Source organism: Homo sapiens, chromosome 1 (genome assembly GCF_000001405.40).
Source record: "Homo sapiens chromosome 1, GRCh38.p14 Primary Assembly".
Classification (NCBI taxonomy): domain Eukaryota; kingdom Metazoa; phylum Chordata; class Mammalia; order Primates; family Hominidae; genus Homo; species Homo sapiens.
This window is the reverse complement of record NC_000001.11, coordinates 92,020,775-92,039,137: the sequence shown is the minus strand read 5'-3', so window position 1 is coordinate 92,039,137 and position 18,363 is coordinate 92,020,775. Positions and strand designations below refer to the sequence as shown.

General features: G+C 42.6%; 1 protein-coding gene and 1 long non-coding RNA gene across 2 annotated transcripts in view, besides 1 other annotated feature; one reads left to right on the top strand and one right to left on the bottom strand.

Moving 5' to 3' along the window:
• EPHX4 (epoxide hydrolase 4) overlaps positions 1-9,153 on the bottom strand; it is a 33,554-nt gene extending 24,401 nt beyond the window's left edge. The window contains exons 1-2 of the mRNA NM_173567.5: positions 8,828-9,153; positions 6,548-6,633 (exon numbers count right to left, since the gene is read on the bottom strand). Coding sequence (NP_775838.3) covers positions 6,548-6,633; positions 8,828-9,058 — 317 coding nt within the window. The 5' untranslated portion in view covers positions 9,059-9,153. The remainder of the gene's footprint in view (positions 1-6,547; positions 6,634-8,827) is intronic.
• Positions 8,751-17,212, top strand: LOC124904218 (uncharacterized). The gene is made up of 2 exons (XR_007066222.1): positions 8,751-9,773; positions 11,934-17,212. It is a non-coding gene; the product is annotated as an uncharacterized LOC124904218 (long non-coding RNA).
• Positions 8,953-9,454: an enhancer, noted in NCBI's record as "H3K27ac hESC enhancer chr1:92495241-92495742 (GRCh37/hg19 assembly coordinates)". NCBI's record gives its function as "activates a minimal SCP1, AML or CMV promoter by ChIP-STARR-seq in naive H9 embryonic stem cells {active_cell/tissue: H9 hESC(naive)}" and the evidence as "EXISTENCE:reporter gene assay evidence [ECO:0000049][PMID:30033119]".
• Positions 17,213-18,363: the final 1,151 nt, after the last annotated feature.

Here is an 18,363-nt window from a genome sequence, read left to right as displayed (position 1 = left end):
CAATCTTCCAGCCAGATTACTTTGCACTCTGTCATTTGCTTTATAACAAAAAGAACTAACATCTATACCATTCTTACTACATACCAGGCCCAATTCTAAGTGCTTCTTGTATGGTAATATTGATCTTCAAAACAGTACTATGAAGTAGATATTATTATTATCTTCACTTAACAGATGAAGAAATGGAGGGAAAGCAAGGTTAATTGAAGTACCAAAGGTCACAGAGTCAGCAAACAGCAGAGCCAGGATTCCAGCCCAGGGAGTCTGGCCCCAGAGTCCATGTTATACTGCCTCTGCAGCACTAGGTTGAAATAGGTGAACAAATAGAGATATTGGTTTTTGCTTTTATGACTTTCTTCATATGGTTTCCTTTGTCTGAAATACCATCACTCCCCACCATTCCCCTATTACCCCATAATCCCTGACTCTCACCCCTCAATTAACTCATTATCACATTAGGCGTCTCCTTTTCTAGGAGACTTCCCAGCTCTCTCCATTACAGCTGGGGTGCGTGGGCCCCTTCCACGCTTTTGCACTTGTATGTGCACTCTTCAGGGCTGGGGCACACCTCACTTTTGATACCTGGCTCTTCCACGAGATCGTTTCCTGGGTCGTCTATGAGAATATCTAGCCCCTGTAGGTGCTTAATAAAGATTTGTCAAATAAATGAAACAACAAATGAATAAAAACACTGAATAATGATAGTGCTAGAAGTACCAGTTGTGCAGTAGGACTTTTGTCCCAGTTCAAACCTTGAGACAATGACAGCTAACGGTCCCAAATTCCTATTGGGGAATTTGTATTCAATTTCTGTTGAACTGCACGTTGTTTCAATACCTTAAGGGTCCGTGTCTTCATTTAGGATTTAATTAGAGATTTCAAGGTAGAAATTTGACTTTATATAATCCTGCAACATTTTACATTTAGAATTGGATTAGAGATTATGCAAACATGATGCTTCCATGTCATATTAGAAATAATTTAAATTGCCTTAAAAATAAATCCAGCTACTGCTTTTAACAATGAGTGAAGCCAAACAATATCCTAAACAATTCTAAGAAATAGGGCAACTGCATATTTTTAATAAATTACTAAGGAATAATTTTTAACTGTCATCTTCCTGAAGTTCATAAATAAAACACATTTGATGTACACATTAGCCCTAAACTGAAAAAGAAGTCACCCCAGTATTAGACTGATGGACATATCATTTACATGAATAAAGCGAAAACAATCTCCTTGATACAGGAATGAAACACATTACAAAAGCAGTAACCCTAAAAAGATTATAAATAAGCAAAACTATTTTCATCCACATTGCCTTTTTTCTGGTAGCTTTAGGTAATAGCAGAGGACACTCAGGAAAAATAACCAATCTCTTTCGCCGTGATTGCTCTTCACCTAGGAGGGCTCCTGGTTTTACCAGGTTACACTTTCAGATGTAGACTATCCTCCTCCTCTTTACCACAGAGAAATGCCACAGTTGTCAGCTTCTGTGCTCAGCTGTATGATGAAGGCCCCTCACTCGCCTTAGCACTTGAGTGATGACGCATGCATTCCATATAGCTGGAGACGAAGACGACTCAAAGAAATTGCCTGCCTCAGCTCAAAATATTTTTAAAGGAGATGCAAATTGAAGTGGAGAGAGAGAGTGGGAGAAAGATCATCCTTTGACAAACAGCCTTACTTGGGGTTAATTTAGTCAAAGGTCCTGTAGATGTGTATCTTGTTTAATATTTCCTTTAGATTTTAAGAAGACCCGGGATTTTATTGTTGCTGTGTAACAGCTAATTGTATACATGAAATATCACCATTTCTCGTCAGCTATTCTCAGGCAATGATGATAAATGCGATAATATGTTACATTTGCATGGTGCTTTTCTGTTTACAAAGCACTTTCACACACATTATCAATTCATTTTTTTTTGTTTTCACTGTATCAAATATTTGTTACCTACTTAATCTACAATCAAGCATACACTTTCATGTGTATTTAAGCAAAACTTAATTGCTAGAGGAATAACATTTACATTTGTAATGTAAATTGAAATTGGTTTGAAATGCCATGCATGAAGTTTTTTTGGCCTTTAAAATGAAAAAAATAAAAAAGAGTTTTGTCTTAAAACTTAAACCCTAGAGTTTTGTCCTAAATTCTAAGACCTTTTTTTTTTCCTGTTGTTTGTTTCCACTAGCACCTCAATGAGATTGACTAGACCTCATAATGGGTAACAGTGGCAATTTGATTGATTGAAAGGAAAGACAGAGTGAGCATCAACAGGGGTCTTGGTTTAGAGTATGACTCCAGAGATATCTGATTACCAACAATCTCCATGTAGTATTTTCAGATGCTCCCTAAACAACCAGGTAGCTTTCAGATTAATGATCAGCAAAGTTCAATGAATTCAATATGATCTATCTGAGTAGCTGAGCTATCTGCGTTTGTAGTTGTTGCTGTTTTAAATTCTACCAATGTTCTTTCTGGAGTAACAAATGACAGATTTAGTGAACAGAAGAGACTCATGCCTGTCTATGATCTTCACATATTTCTTAATCTATGGCTTTTCAGAGTGAAAATATTTCTAGGAGCTTCCCAAAAACTAAACTATTCCTCACAATGACCAAATCCCTTTTGGATACATCCAAGACTTGACTTTGCGGGGGCAAATGGGAATGATATCCAGGGACCAGTGCTGGACCCCCTCCTAGGCTGTTTCATCCCCTGATGATTCTAGGACAAGAATCACCAGCCATTTCTATTTTGCAAAAGGGCTCTCATGAGGAGTAAATAATGAGACATGACTGTGAAAAACACGCACAAAATCTCTTAGAATACGACAGAGAGCATCTACTGCCCTGTATGAAAGTGGTTGTAGGTTCATTTTTATCTTTGTGTATATTGTTCTGCACGTAAAGAGGTGAAATTCCAGGGGAATAAGGATGGCCAAGTACTGGGGTTGGTGTGAGGTAGAGAAAGAAAATAGCTTTCAAATGTTTTCTTTCTAAAAAGTTAAGTATCATCTCTCCGATGCATGAATTTTATTTAGGATGATGATTTAAAATGTTAAATTAAGGTATTTTTATATTGTTGGCTGATTTGTTAACACCCTCTTGAATGTTTGTATAAGGTGTGACATTTGAAAGGTAAAAATCCATGCATGTTATTGGATCAGATTACTATAATTCCTATAGAATGAGAACAAACTGCAGAGGTCAGCCCTGACTTTCAAAAACAAGGGACACCTGACTTTCTGGCACTGCCAACTTCAGAAGGGTAGCTATGGGGCTTAAATGAGATGGTATATATAAGTCACTTACAAAAGTACCTGGCTTGGGAGGGGAACAACACACACTGGAGCCTGTTGGGGGTGGGGAGAGGGAGAGCATCAGGATAAATAGCTAATGAATGCTGGACTTAATACCTACATGACGGGTTGATAGTTGCAGAAAACCACCATGGCACACGTTTACCATGTAACAAACCTGCATGTCCTGCACATGTATTCCAGAACTTAAAATAAAAATAAAAAAGAGAGTGCCTGGCTCATAGTAAATGCTTAGAAAATGTTAACTATCATCACCAGAGTTAGGAAATTATTATTTGACACATGGATCTCCACAATGAATGAATGGGAATGAAGGAAGAAAATGAGTATTTACTGAATATTCACTGGGGCCACGTGAAAGATTTTCGACATTTTGACTCTCTTCATCCTCACCCAACTTTGCAACATCATTGTAGATGACTGTTTAGGGTTCTTCAGCAAACTAGTGGTTGAGCCAGAATGTACTGCCCATGCTATGTTAGGCAGATTTGATCAGTGTTTCAGAGTAACATTTTATTGTGAACTAATTATGCCACGCACTCCATAAGGTGAGACCATATGCATATGCTCGAATTGCACTGGGCAGCTAATCTACCACCTCATTAAGCTGTCTCCAAATGAAAGAACAGATCAAAGCATAACATGAAAATGACTTATGTTTATTTATGCACATAAATCCAGAAGGGGAAAAAAATCTTCATGCAGGGAAAATCTTCTAAGGAAGACTTCTCACTCTGGAAAAATTATTAGGTATAGGTGTCTTTGCCATCCTCCACTCTTTTCTTCAATGCCTAATACCTCCTAGTACACTAACATCCTCAATACATTTATTCATAAAGTCCCTTTCACTCACAAAGTATTAACTAAAGTGGGTCGGGTGCAGTGGCTCACACCTGTAATCCCAACATTTTGAGAGGCTGAAGGGGGCAGATCACTTGAGGTCAGGAGTTTGAGACCAGCCTGGCCTGTTTAACATGGTAAAACTTTGTCTCTACTAAAACTTCAAAAATTAGCTGGGTGTGGTGCGCACTTGTAATCCCAGCTACTTGGGAGGCTGAGGCTGGAGAATCACTTGAACCCAGGAGATGGAGGTTGCAATGAGCTGAGATTGCACCACTGCACTCTAGCCTGGGCAACAGAGCAAGACTGTTTAAAAAAAAAAAAAAAAAGAAGCGTCTTAAGGTAGTAATCCTTTCAGCACTAGATGCATTTTAAATCAGGATTTTGAGTGACATAAAATCTTTAAGACTCTAAAGGAGGTAAGAAATCTGTAATGCTGGAATTCTAGGAATTATAAGATAGTAAGGGAGAATTTGGGGACAGGATATTGTCCTAGACCTTTCAAAATATACCAGATATTCCACCTTTGAGTCAACTAAGGGAACTGGGCTTTTAAAAACATCAATTTCTTGACCTATTTAGTTTATGAACTATTTCTTATAGCCCTGTGCTATAAAAACTGGTTTTCTTTTACTGCCATGATATGTACCACCCTTTTTTTTTTTTTTTTTTTTTGAGACGGAATCTCGCTCTGTTGCCCAGGCTGGAGTGCAGTGGCACGAGCTCGGCTCACTGCAAGCTCCGCCTCCTGGGTTCACACCATTCTCCTGCCTCAGCCTCCCGAGTAGCTGGGAGTACAGGCGCCTGCCACCAAGCACAGCTAATTTTTTTTTTTTTTGTATTTTTAGTAGAGACAGGGTTTCACCGTGTTAGCCAGGATGGTTTCAATCTCCCGACCTCGTGATCCACCCGCCTCGGCCTCCTGATATGTACCACCTCTTTTAAAGATGTTCATTAAAAAAAAAAAAAAAAAAAAAGTTTAAACATGTGTTGCTTTCATCTGTACTTATTTGGCCCAGTGGGGTCAATAGAGAACAGAACACTTCCCCTTAGGTAACTGCTATGGTCTGAATATGTTCTCCCAAAATTCATATGATGAAGTTTATTTGCCTCCAGAAGACACATCAACAAGGCACCATGTTGGACACACACAGACATGGATGTCACCAGACTCTGAACCTACTGGTGCCTTGATCTTGGATTTCCCAGTCTCCAGAACGGTGAGAAATAAATTTCTATTCTTTATAAATTACCCAGTCTCAGGTATTTTGTTAGCAACAAAAATGAACGAAGATAGTAACTAATAATTACATATTTGGGGCTCCAGATTTTCTTCCTAATGAGAAATATTTAGGTACTTAAATTATCCTGCATTCATATAAGCCTATTGCTCTGTGCATAGGAAATAGTTCATTTTCAGTTTCCATAAGTGCTCTACTCTGCCTTCTCCTCACCCCAGCCTCACCAAAATCTTCCTAATAACAATCACTCCACGTCTTTGGTTTGTTTAAAATCTCCTTTCCCTACCCAGTGTTGTATTTTGTCTATAGTAGATACTCTATACAAACTGTTTTGTTACTATTTCAGAAATTTGAAACATTAAAAGATACTTCTTTTAATCCTCAAAAAAATATATAAATTTAAATTGGTAGCAGGTAGGTCTTTTTAGGAGGAAAAAGACCTGTGATTCAGGAACATTTAGGAATATTAACTCTGGGCACATGATCAAAAAGTAGGGTCTGTTAAAAGTCATTACAAGAGGCTTGGCGTGGTGGCTTACATCTGTAATCCCAGCACTTTAGGAGGCCAAGGTGGGAGGATTGCTTGATCTCAGGCTTTCAAGACCAGCCTAGGCAATATAGCAAGATCCCACCTCCAAAAAAAAAAAAAAAAGCTAGGTGTGGTGGTAGATGCCTGTAGTCCCAGCTACTTGGTAGGCTGAGGTGGGAAGACTGCTTAAACCCAGAAGTTCAAAGCTGCAGTGAGCTGTGATCATGCCACTGTGCCCCAGCCTGGGTGACAGAGTAAGACCTTGTCTCAAAAATTGCCATTGTAACAGTATTAAGAGGTGGGACCTTTAAGAGGTGGTTAGGTCATGCAGGCTCTGCCCTCATGGATGGAAATAATGCCACTATGAAAGGGCAATTTCGGCCCCCTTTTGCTTCTTTGCCCTTCCTCCTCTGCCATGTGATGTTGCAGCAAGGAGGCCCTTGTCAGATGTTGGCACCTTGATCCTGAACTTCCCAGCCTCCAGAACTCTGAGAAAATCATTTATGTTCATTTTAAGTTACCCAGACTGTGATATTCTGTTACAGCAGCACAAAATGAACTGAGAAAATAAGCCAAGTTTTAATGTAACAATAAATGTTAGTTGGTAAGCTTACCAGAATTCTGGAAATCCATGAAGCAGCAGCATAAGTGGTTTGCCTCTTTCTCCAGCAGCAACATAGTGAAATCTTAACCCTGAATCCTGAAAGTAGAGGGCATGGAATTTTAGTGATGTTTGTGTTGATTGACAAAGCAATATATTTAGCATTTCCATTTCATTAAAAAAATAGTAACTTGCCTTATTTTAAAACATTTGTGTATTTACAATATCTTCATGACACTCAGTTGCCTTATTTTTAACATCAAGAAATATATTTACTTTTATTAATTTTCAAAAAGAAAAGCAAACCCCATGACCTATTAATAGGGTAAATTGACAGATTCACTTTGTCAACACTCCCTTGACAGTACCTTCTCTTCTTGTTCTAGTACAGTCAATTTATATATTATGAGCTTCTGAAGCAATGTCACAATTTGTAACTTTCATCTTACCATTTGTAACTTTCATCTTACTGATGTGTCACATTTCATCTCCCTCAAATGCTGCAGGACATGTAAATAATTCTAATCTGAATTTATATTTCTGCCATGTTTACATCCTAGTCATCTACTTTTCTCAGCTTGCCCGTCAAGAGCTGTGCCATCAGTTATATAATTCACACCTCCTTCTCTTATTTTTAGGTCTCTCCTTCCCACATTATTATTTTGAGTGTTGCATGTTCTGTTCCCCTTGCTGCCTGCTCATGTCATGTCAGTGTGCGTTTCTAATAAGAGAATGCCCTGAGTGCTCAAGACTTCACTCTGCATGTAGGAGACAAGAAAACCCAAGGAAAATTAAAAAAACATGGGAATGAGTCAGGAATTCAAGCAAATACTAAGCAGGCTGAATTGAGGAAAGTAGAGGGAACAGCAGGAATAAAAATCTCTGAAAGCAAGCAAGCTAGGAAACAAAAAGAACCAAAAGCTAAACACAGACATTGGGTTTTTATAGCAGGCAACTCAAGCAACTGAGTTTTCAGATGTGAAAGAATCATTTTGCAGATTCAGAAGATGAGGCCCAAAGATGGTAACATGAGTCATAAAATGGTTGAGAGCAGGGCTGTGACCAGAATCTCCATCTTGTCCTAACTCCCAGGACAATGCTCTTTCCACTCGGTTCTCTGTCTCTGGGGAAGCTCTTTAGGCGGCCAGAGCGAGGGGAAAAGTGTTTTATGGAATTCCAGATGGTTCTTATACTACTTTTACCCCTCAGGTTGAACAGAGATAACAAATCTGACTTTACCCTCAGCTGCACGATGGCTTCCTAGAGGTTCAATAACTTTTTTTATTGGTGGTGAGTCTTGGAGGATTAAATGTTATGGGCACTGCAATGGATTTAATTAACAGATACTTTATTGCACTGACTATGCATCAGGCATTGTTCTAAGTTTTTCGTGTTTGTTTTTATAAATATTAACCTATTTAATTCTCATGTCGACCCCAGGCAAGAAAGAAGTTCTCTTGCCCTTCTGAACTTCAGCTGCGGGGCAATTTAGCTCCTAACAGGAAATAAGGACTTGGTGACATAAACATCCCCTCTTATGAGGCTGGGTTTGAAAGGCCTGTGAGTCAGACTGCAGGGTGTATCACGGGAACTATTTCCCTTCACCACCTGGAGCCTCAGGAAACAGAATATTTGTGGGCTGTGAGGAAGCTTGAACAATTAGCGTCTGCAGGCATGGCTGGATTTACCTTTTATTCCATTCCTTTCTTTGGTCCCTGACTTCATAAGTATGCATTCCTCCCCACAACACACACAATTTACTTATTGTTTCATGCAACCTAAGTCGTCTGTGATCATAATAAACTCATGACTCCCAAAGACTGACTGTTTACTCTTATTATCTCTAAAATTGGGCAAGAACAGCCTCCTGAGACATTAGGATGCCACGAGGAACAATTCTCTACAGCTGATCTGAGCTCTAAAGGGCAAAAGGGTGACAGGAGACAGCTTCCCCTTGCAGTAGGAAAAAGAGCAGGTTTATTCTGGGTTGTTGTGGCGCCGGGGGGCAGTAATATAAGAGGCCCCTGATTAGAGAAGTTCCACATTCAGAAACCAATCAAGGTGCCTGCAAAGACCGAGTGCTGTTTATCTGTATCTCTCTCTCTCTCTCTCTCTCTCACACACACACACACACACACACACACACGACACACAGGGACCCAACCCCTCCTCCCCTCCTGCCAGGACACTAGGGGACGCTGAGCCAGCGTCTCGGAAGGAGAAGCCCGGAGCCCCCCACCCTCGCGGCGGTCACGCTCCCTCCCGCTCCCGCCAGGCCCGCGCGGCCCTTCACCTTGATCCGCACGTAGCAGTGGGTGCCCAAGGAGGGGTCGCTCAGGCACGCGGGAGGGTGCTCCCGGGCGGGCCGCCGGAAGGTCTGCGCCGGCCCCTTGCCGAGGCTCCACAAAAGTTTGAGCAGGTGGATGGAGGCGCAGAGCCCGCAGTAGCAGTAGACCAGGGACCAGAAGAGCAGGGACCGGAGCGTGAGCATCAGGCGGGGCAGGCAATCCCGCAGCCTCGCCATTGGGAGGCGGCGGCGGGGCCCACTGCCCTTCCTCGGGAGCGGGTGAGCGAGCGCCGCAGCGCGCCAGGCCAGCCCGCCGTCGCCTCTCGACGCGCGCCTCCCCCGGCCCGGGGCGGCCGGCGTTCCGTGTCACCGCGGCGGCTCCGCACACGCGCCGCGCCCAGCCCGGAGCGCGCAGGGGAGAGCCGGGCCTGCGGGGTGCGGCGGGCCAGGCCGGGGTGCAGAGCTTGGCTGTCTTCCGCGGAGAGCGAGATCCCGTTTCAAAATCGCAAAACTGTGGGGGAGGATGAAGGCGAGACTTTCCCAAACCATCCTGGGCACCAAAGAAGGTAGCGCCACTCAGTCTTCTTTGTTGTTCTCAATGTATCAAGCAAAACTATTTCTAAGCCCACATATTCGTGTGTCATAGTTCAGGGACACAGGTCAGCGACAAACTTCCATGCTATTACACCCAAAGAGATTCTTTAGAGTGCAAAATCACTCTGCACTCTGAAAGATACCAGCCTTCCTCTTCTCAAAATCTTTCGTGGAATCATAATTTCTGTAGAAATCCGCCTATGCCTTGCCTGGTTCAGCCACAGCAAACTTACAGAGAGCTGCAACCCCAGGGATACAACGAATGCTTCAACAACGTGACGCGGCAGAAGCCTGGCCAGAAGGCCACACACCTGAGAGTTCGTCGAAGGGCTGGAAGCCGTGAGAGTGACAGTCCTCGGTAGGTATCTCAGCCTCAGCACCGACATGGCCACTCTTGTCCTGACCTCTTCTATCGTCCAGTTCACTGTTAGAATTTCATTAAGCCTTTTCCCAATCACCGGGTCAGGTATTAAGTGTTCATTTTTTATGAGAAACTGTCAAACTGGTTTCCAAAGTGGCTGTACAATTTTGAATTTACTTCAGCATGTGTGAGTTATACAATTGACCTTTGAACAATGCGGGGGGTTAGGGTTGCTGAACCCTTTCACATCTGAAAATCCATGTATAACTTTTGAGTTCCCCCAAACTTAAGTACTAATAGCCTACTACTGACCAAAACAATTAACATATGTTTATGTATTACATACTGTATCTTTATAATTAAGAAAAATGTTAAAATCATAAGGAAGAGAAAATACATTTACTATTCATTAAGTGGAAGTGGATTATCTTAAGAGTGTTCATCCTTGTCATCATCAGGTTAGGTAAGCTGAGGAGGAGAAAGAAGAAGGGAGGTTGATCTTCCTGTCTTGGGGTGAGGGGGAGGGAAGAGGTGGAAGAAAATCCATGTGTAAGTGGACCTACACAGTTCAAACACATGTTGTTTGAGGGTTAACTGTATTTTGCTCTTTTTTTCTAGGGTCTTGAGTTAGGAACTTATTGAGACCTTTGCAATTTCTAATGCAATCATTTAGCACCTATACATTTCTCTCAGTACTCTTTTTATTTTATTTTTTGAGACGGAGTCTCACTCTGTCGCCTAGACTGGAGTGCAATGGCGCGATCTCCATCTCAGCTCACTGCAAGCTCCGCCTCCCGGGTTCACGCCATTTTCCTGCCTCAGCCTCCTGAGTAGCTGGGACTACAGGCGCCCGCCACCATGCCCGGCTAAGTTTTTTGTATTTTTGGTAGAGACGGGGTTTCACCGTGTTAGCCAGGTTAGCTCGTGAACCGCCCGCCTCAGCCTCCCTAAGTGCTGGGATTACAAGTGTGAGCCACCGCGCCTGGCATCTCTCAGTACTCTTTAATCGTATTACATATGTGTTGATATGTTGTATTTTGCCATTTGTTATGTATTTTTTAAAATGTCCTGTTTTAGGTTGGGTGCTGTGGCTTACGCCTATAATCCCAGCACTTTGGGAGGCTGAGGCAGGAGGATCGCTTGAGCTCAGCAATTCAAGACCAGCGTGGGCAACATGGCAAAACCCTGTCTCTACAAAAAATAGAGAAATTAGCCAGGTGTGGTGGTGCACGCCTGTAGTCCCAGCTACTTGGGAGGCTGAAGTGGCAGGATCGCCTTAGCCCTGGAAGGTTGAGGCTGCAGTGAGCCAAAATCATGCCACTGCACTCTAGCCTGGGTTAAAGAGTGAGATTATGTTTCAAAAAATGAAAAACAAAACAAAACAAAACAAAAAACAGGGCCGGGGGTGGTGGCTCACATCTGTAATCCCAGCACTTTGGGAGGCTGAGCTGGTCAGATCACCTGAGGTCAGGAGTTTTGGACCAGCCTGGCCAACATGTTGAAACCCCATCTCTACTAAAAATACAAAAAAATTAGCCAGGCATAGTAGTGCACGCCTGTAGTCCAAACTACTTGGGAAGCTGAGGCATGAGAATTGCTTGAACCCGGGAGGCAGAGATTGCAGGGAGCTGAGATTGCACCACTGCACTTCAGCCTGGGTGACAAAGGGAGACTCCGTCTCAAAAAATAAATAAATAAAAAAAAACAAAGATTCCTGTCTTCCTCCTTGCCCCATTGTGTTTTTAATGTGTTTAGCAATTTTTCTATTATTACTTTCAGTCCTCCAAACTCTTAACTCATAACACATTAAATTTTTAAGAGATAGAGATCTTGCTATGTTGATCAGGCTGGTCTTGAACTCCTGGCCTCAAGCAATCCTCTCACTTTAGCCTCCCAAAGTGCTGAGACTACAAGCATGAGGTACTGTGCTTGGCAGTCCATTATTGACTTGTATCTGATTCTATTATGGCCCAAGAACATACTCCACATGACCTCTATTCTTTTAAATTTGTTTTATGATCTGGGATATGGTCTATCTTGGTGAATGTTCCATGGTTGTTTAAAAAAAAAAAACGTGTGGATAAGAGTGTTCTACATTTGCCCGCTAGATCATGTTGGCTGCTTGTGTCCTACCTTTTTTTTTTTTTCTTTTTCAAGAGACAGGGACTCGCTGTTACCCAGGATGGAGTGCAGTGGCTATTCACAGGTGCAGTCATTAAGCACACTGCAGCCTCGGACTCCTGGGCTTAAATGACCATCCTTCCTCAGCCTCCCAAGTAGCTGGGATTACAGATGCATTCCACCACACCCAGCTTGTATCAACTTTTAAATGACAGACTTCCTGTTAAATTCATTCACATCAAATAAGTTCCTCAATTTACAGACCACAATACCAAAATCTGATGAAGATTAAAAAGCGATATAGACAACTTTTTGAATGAAAATAGTTTCAGCCCTCTCCCTCTCCCCCTCCCCCTCCCGCTTTCCACCGTCCCCCCTCTGATGCCCAGCGGAGGCTGGACGGTACTGCCGCCAACTCGGCTCATGGCAACCTCCCTGCCTGATTCTTCTGCCTCAGCCTGCCGAGTGCCTGGGATTGCAGGCACGCGCCGCCACGCCTGACTGGTTTTTGTATTTTTTGGTGGAGACAGGGTTTCGCCGTGTTGGCTGGGCTGGTCTCCGCCTCATGACCGCGAGTGATCTGCCCGCCTGGGCCTCCTGAAGTGCCGGGATTGCAGACGGAGTCTCGCTCACTCAGTGCTCAATGTTGCCCAGGCTGGAGTGCAGTGGCGTGATTTCGGCTCACTACAACCTCCACCTCCCAGCCGCCTGCCTTGGCCTCCCAAAGTGCCAAGATTGCAGCCTCTGCCCGGCCCCCACCCCATCTGGGAAGTGAGGAGCGTCTCTGCCTGGCCGCCCATCGTCTGGGATGTGAGGGGCCCCTCTGCTGGGCCGCCCAGTCTGGGAAGTGAGGAGCGCCTCTTCCCGGCCGCCATCCCATCTAGGAAGTGAGGAGCATCTCTGCCCGGCCGCCCATCGTCTGGGATGTGGGGAGCGCCTCTGCCCCGCCGCCCTGTCTGGGATGTGAGGAGCGCCTCTGCCCGGCAGTGACCCCGTCTGGGAACTGAGGAGCGTCTCTGCCTGGCCGCCACCCCGTCTGGGAGGTGAGGAGCATCTCTGCCCGGCCGCCCTGTCTGAGAAGTGAGGAGCCCCTCCGCCCGGCAGCCGCCCAGTCTGGGAAGTGAGGAGCCCCTCCGCCCGGCAGCTGCTCCCTCTGGGAAGTGAGGAGCGTCTCCGTCCGGCAGCCGCCCTGTCCGGAAGGTGGGGGGCAGCCCCCGCCCGGCCAGCCGCCCCGTCCGGGAGGGAGGTGGGGGGCAGGCCCTGCCGGGCCAGCTGCCCCGTCAGGGAGGGAGGTGGGGGACGCCTCTGCCCGGCTGCCCCGTCTGGGAAGTAAGGAGCCCTTCTGCCCGGCCGCCACCCCGTCTGGGAGGTGTACCCAACAGCTCATTGAGAACGGGCCATGATGAAGATGGCGGTTTTGTTGAATAGAAAAGGGGGAAATGTGGGGAAAAGAAAGAGATCAGATTGTTACTGTGTCTGTGTAGAAAGAAGTAGACATAGGAGACTCCATTTTGTTCTGCACTAAGAAAAATTCTTCTGCCTTGGGATGCTGTTAATCTATAACCTTACCCCCACCCCCGTGCTCTCTGAAACATGTGCTGTGTCCACTCAGGGTTAAATGGATTAAGGGCGGTGCAAGATGTGCTTTGTTAAACAGATGCTTGAAGGCGGCATGCTCCTTAAGAGTTATCACCACTCCCTAATCTCAAGTACCCAGGGACACAAACACAGCGGAAGGCGGCAGGGTCCTCTGCCTAGGAAAACCAGAGACCCTTGTTCACATGTTTATCTGCTGACCTTCCCTCCACTATTGTCCTATGACCCTGCCAAATCCCCCTCTCTGAGAAACACCCAAGAATGATCAATAAATACTAAAATAAATAAATAAATAACCCATTAGACTGAGAAGTGAAGTGTCAGTACAAGGACAGTCTACTAAAATTGCTGAAAAATAGCAATTATAGTATTTAGTGGTGGCACAGATATTTATATTTGGTTTTGTAGATATTTGTGTCAGCTATATCAAATTAATTAAATTAAACCAACAACTATTTAAAAAAAAAAGAAAATAGTTTCCATAATTATATTAGAAATTGAATCTACCAGTATATAATATGAATAATACAACTATGGAGGTTTAATTTCAGGAAAGAATGGTCCAACATCAAGAAATCTATAAACATAACTATATCGACATTTGTAGAAGAAAAACCACATATCAACAAATGCCAATAAAGGCATGTGGCAAAATTCAGCAGCTATTCCTTAAAAGCTAAATTAATCCAGGTAGCAAGACACTGCTTAAACATTACCATAACCAGAAAACAGTAAACTATAGTGAAATCCTCTATTTTAAGAGTTGGGAATGAGAAAGAATGATTGCTATTAGCTCTATTATTTAACATTATTTTTGGAAATTCAAGCTAAGGAAATAACCCAAAAAGAACCAAATAAATTTTAAAAATTACATAAAAATTGGAAAAGAGGCGAAAATATAGCTGTTTGCAGATTATATTTCTTTAAACCTTAAAAAATTAATAGAATACAATTTGGTAAGGTGTCTAGATACAAGGTAAGTATACAAAGTCAATAGTTTTTCCATATCCTAGCATTAACCAATTAGAAATTGAAACTGCATTCACCAGATTGCAGGAGAGCTCAACATTGTATCATTCCCCCATATTATTGCATATAATTAATTTTTGATAATATTCCACTGTAAGATCATGATAGTTTATTCCTTCTTCTATTAAAAGCATTTGGGTTGGTCCTGTCTTTCCTTCCCTCCTCCCTCTCTTCTCCCTCTTTCCCTATTATGATCCTTGCATATGTTTTGTATATTCTTGTACATGTCTCCTTAGTCTGTTTTGTAATAGCTTCTCTAGGTTATATACTTTGAGCGAATTGCACAGTTATGACTACAGAACTATTTGTATTAGTCTATTCGCTCATTGCTATAAAGAAAACCTGAGACTGTGTAACTTATAAAGAGATTTAATTGGCTCATGGTCCTGCAGGTTGTATAGAAAGCATAGTAGCTCCTGCTTTTGGGGAGTCCCCAGAGAGCTTCTAATCATGGCAGAAGGCAAAGGGCGGGGGGCAAGGTGGCAGAAGCAGGAGCAAGAGAGAGAAGGGGGAGGTGCCACACATTTTTAAACAACAAAGATCTCGTGAGAACTCTCACTATACAGTACTAAGAGGGGATGATGCTAAACCATTCATCAAGACTCCAACACCATGATCCAATCACCTTCTACCAGACCCCACCTCCAGCACTGGGAATTACATTTCAACATGAGATTTAGGTGGGGACACGTATCCAAACCATAGCACTATTCAATTTTATAAAATAATGTTAAATTGTTTTCAAAAATTTTTTTTCTTTTAACCTTTCTGTCTTCTAGGCTAGAGTGCAATGGCATGATCATGGCTCAACTGCCACCTTGAACTCCTGGCCTCAAGTGATCCTCCTGCCTTGGCCTCCCAAAGTATTGGGATTACAGGCATGAGCCACTGCACTCAGCCAATGTTGTTATGTTTATACTCCTGACCACCAGTGTGTGAGTTCTTACTGATCCTCTCCCAACATTTGATAATGCTAGATTATTTTAGCTAATGTGATGGATGGATAAAAAGTGGTATCTCCTATGGTCTCAATTTTCATTTCTCAGTATTAAATAATCTGAGCATCTTTTCATCTTTTTAACCTATGTTTCTTCTGAAGTGAAATGCCTGTGAGTGGCAGAAATTACCAATATCCACATGTTGCTCCAAATGTCTCATGCTTAGTCAGGTGTGGCCAAGTGATTGGGTTCTGGCCAGAAGGATATGAGTGCAAGAGGTTTAAGTTTCTCCCAAGTCTGGGCATTAAAAACACTGTAGACTGGCATGGTAGCTCATGTCTATAATCCCAGCACTTTGGAAGGCTGAGGCGGGCAGATAGATCACTTGAGCCCAGGAATTCGAGATCAGCCTGGGCAGCATGACAAAACCCTGTCTCTACTAAAAAATACAAAAAATTAGCTGTGCATGGTGGTGTGTGCCTGTAGTCCCAGCTACTTGGGAGGCTGAGGTGGGAGGATCACCTGAGCCCAGGAAGTTGAGGCTGCAGTGAGCTGTGATTGCACCACTGCACTCCAGCCTAGGTGATGGGAGTGAGACCCTGTCTCAAAAAAAAAAAAAAAAAAAAAAACATAAAAAACAAACAAATTCTGTGTAATCTTCTGACCTTATATTCCTGTGCTGTATCAATTTTAGACATATTTTCCAGGTGGTATAACTACATGATGGAGTAGAGCCACTCAAACTGCTTCAATGTCTATGAAAATGGAATATCATTTCTACATTTCTTATAGAGTAGAACATTTTGTGGTAAACTTTTTTTTCATCCTCCTTTTGATAGTTTTGCCAAGTTAAGAATCCCAAGCTGCCTCCCCCACCCCAGTTTTCCTTCTTATTTAATCAAATATTGGCAGATAAACATAATTACAGCACAATTCAGATAATTCTTCATGTTGTATACATAGATCTTTAAATATAATCTAAAAGGAATCTGCAGTCCACAATGACACACATACAGCTTTTCCTTACTTTGCTTAAAAAACATTATTTGAGGCAGGGTCTCACTCTCACCCAGGCTGGAGTGCAGTGGTGTGATCTTATCCTTGCCTCCCAGGTTCAAGTGATTCTCATGCCTCAGCCTCACGAGTAGCTGGGACTACAGGCATGCACCACCATGCCTGGCTAATTTTTGGTTTGTTTTTGTTTTGGTAGAGGTGGGGTTTCACCATGTTGGCCAGGCTAGTCTTGGACTCCTGACCTCAAGTGATCTGCCCACCTTGGCCTCCCAAAGTGCTAGGATGAGCCACCACGCCTGGCAAAAAAGTTTTTAAACCATACAAATTTAGAATCCTATCAGCACACACTTTGCTGTGACATAGTTCAGACACAAATAGGGTACAAAAAAATATGCTAACATATATATAAACTTTGTTAATGAAAAAAAACAGAAACAAGTATGATTGAGATACATTTAGTCACTGATAACTAGTTGTGCCCTAAGGGAACAACTAAGAGAAACTGTGCTGCAGAGAAAACCTATATATAGATATACAACAAGAAAATAAACTATAAGATTAATACATGCATGTTTAATACTGGAAAAAAATCACAGCCCTCCAAAGTTTCTCCATATTTCAAGTCGACAGTTATTTTTCTCTCAAAACTTTGAGGATTTAATTCTACTGTTTCTGGTATTCATTGTTACTGATAACTCGTTTATATTTGGTAAAATAAAAATAAGCTGCTTTTCCCTTGCTGCTTGCAAAATTTTGCTTATGGTGTGTAGGCCACTGAAAAATGTTTTAGGTATGAATTTCTTCTTAATTATCTTGTTTGGAATGTTACACTTACAGGATAAAATGACTTTTTTAAATTTTAAGAAAATCACAATTATTGTCTCCTCAAATAATGACCCTCCTTATTCTTGTAGTTGATTCCAAGGACTCTAATTTAGATATATGTTAGGTCTTTCCATTCTATCCTGTAGATCAGGGGTTGGCAAACTTATTTTTTCAATAAGAGGTCAGATACTAAATATTTTGCCTTTGAGGGTTTTTTTTTTATTTTGCTTCTCCTTGTCTCTCTGTGATGTATCCTGGTATCTTTATTTGGATATAGCTTCTAACCCATTAATTTTCTCTTCCCCTATGTCTAATTGTTTTAACCTATCCATTGAGATTTTTAAAAACTGAGTCTATGTCAACATTTTCTTACCTAGAAGTTTCATTTTTTTTAACCTGCCTATTCTCCTCCTCCCAAAAGTCTTTTTTTTTTTTTTTTTAATGGAGTCTTGCTCTGTCACCCAGGCTGCAGTGCAGTGGTGCGATCTTGGCTCACCATAACCTCCATCTCCTGGGTTCAAGTGATTCTCCTGCCTCAGCCTCCTGAGTAGCTGGGATTACAGGCGGGTGCCACCACGTCCGGCTAATTTTTGTATTTTTAGTAGAGAAGAGGTTTCACCCTGCTGGCCAGGCTGGTCTCAAACTCCTGATCTCAAGTGATCTGCCTGCCTTGGCCTCCCAAAGTGCTGGGGTTACAGGAGTGAGACAACATACCCGGCCAAAAGTCTTAAAGATTTTACAAACAGCTGTTCTACTGAAGTCCTAGGGAGAATGGGTTGCAAGCTAGCGGGTCTATATTTATTGTTCATTATTTCTGCTTCTACTTATTGTAGCTTGCTTTTTAATGTAATTCACCTTTGATCATGAGCTAATTTCTTCATCTTGATCCTGCTTCTGCCAATAGCCAGTTGGGGACCTTTAGCTTCCTGAAGACCTTCATTCAACTTTCCCACCTCACCATTAGCCCATGGCACAATTAGCATGTTAATGTGGCTCCAAGCATCTAACCTAAAGCAAATCCCACCATCCCAGCTGCTGACTGCTCTGCTCCCAGCTAATTTGAG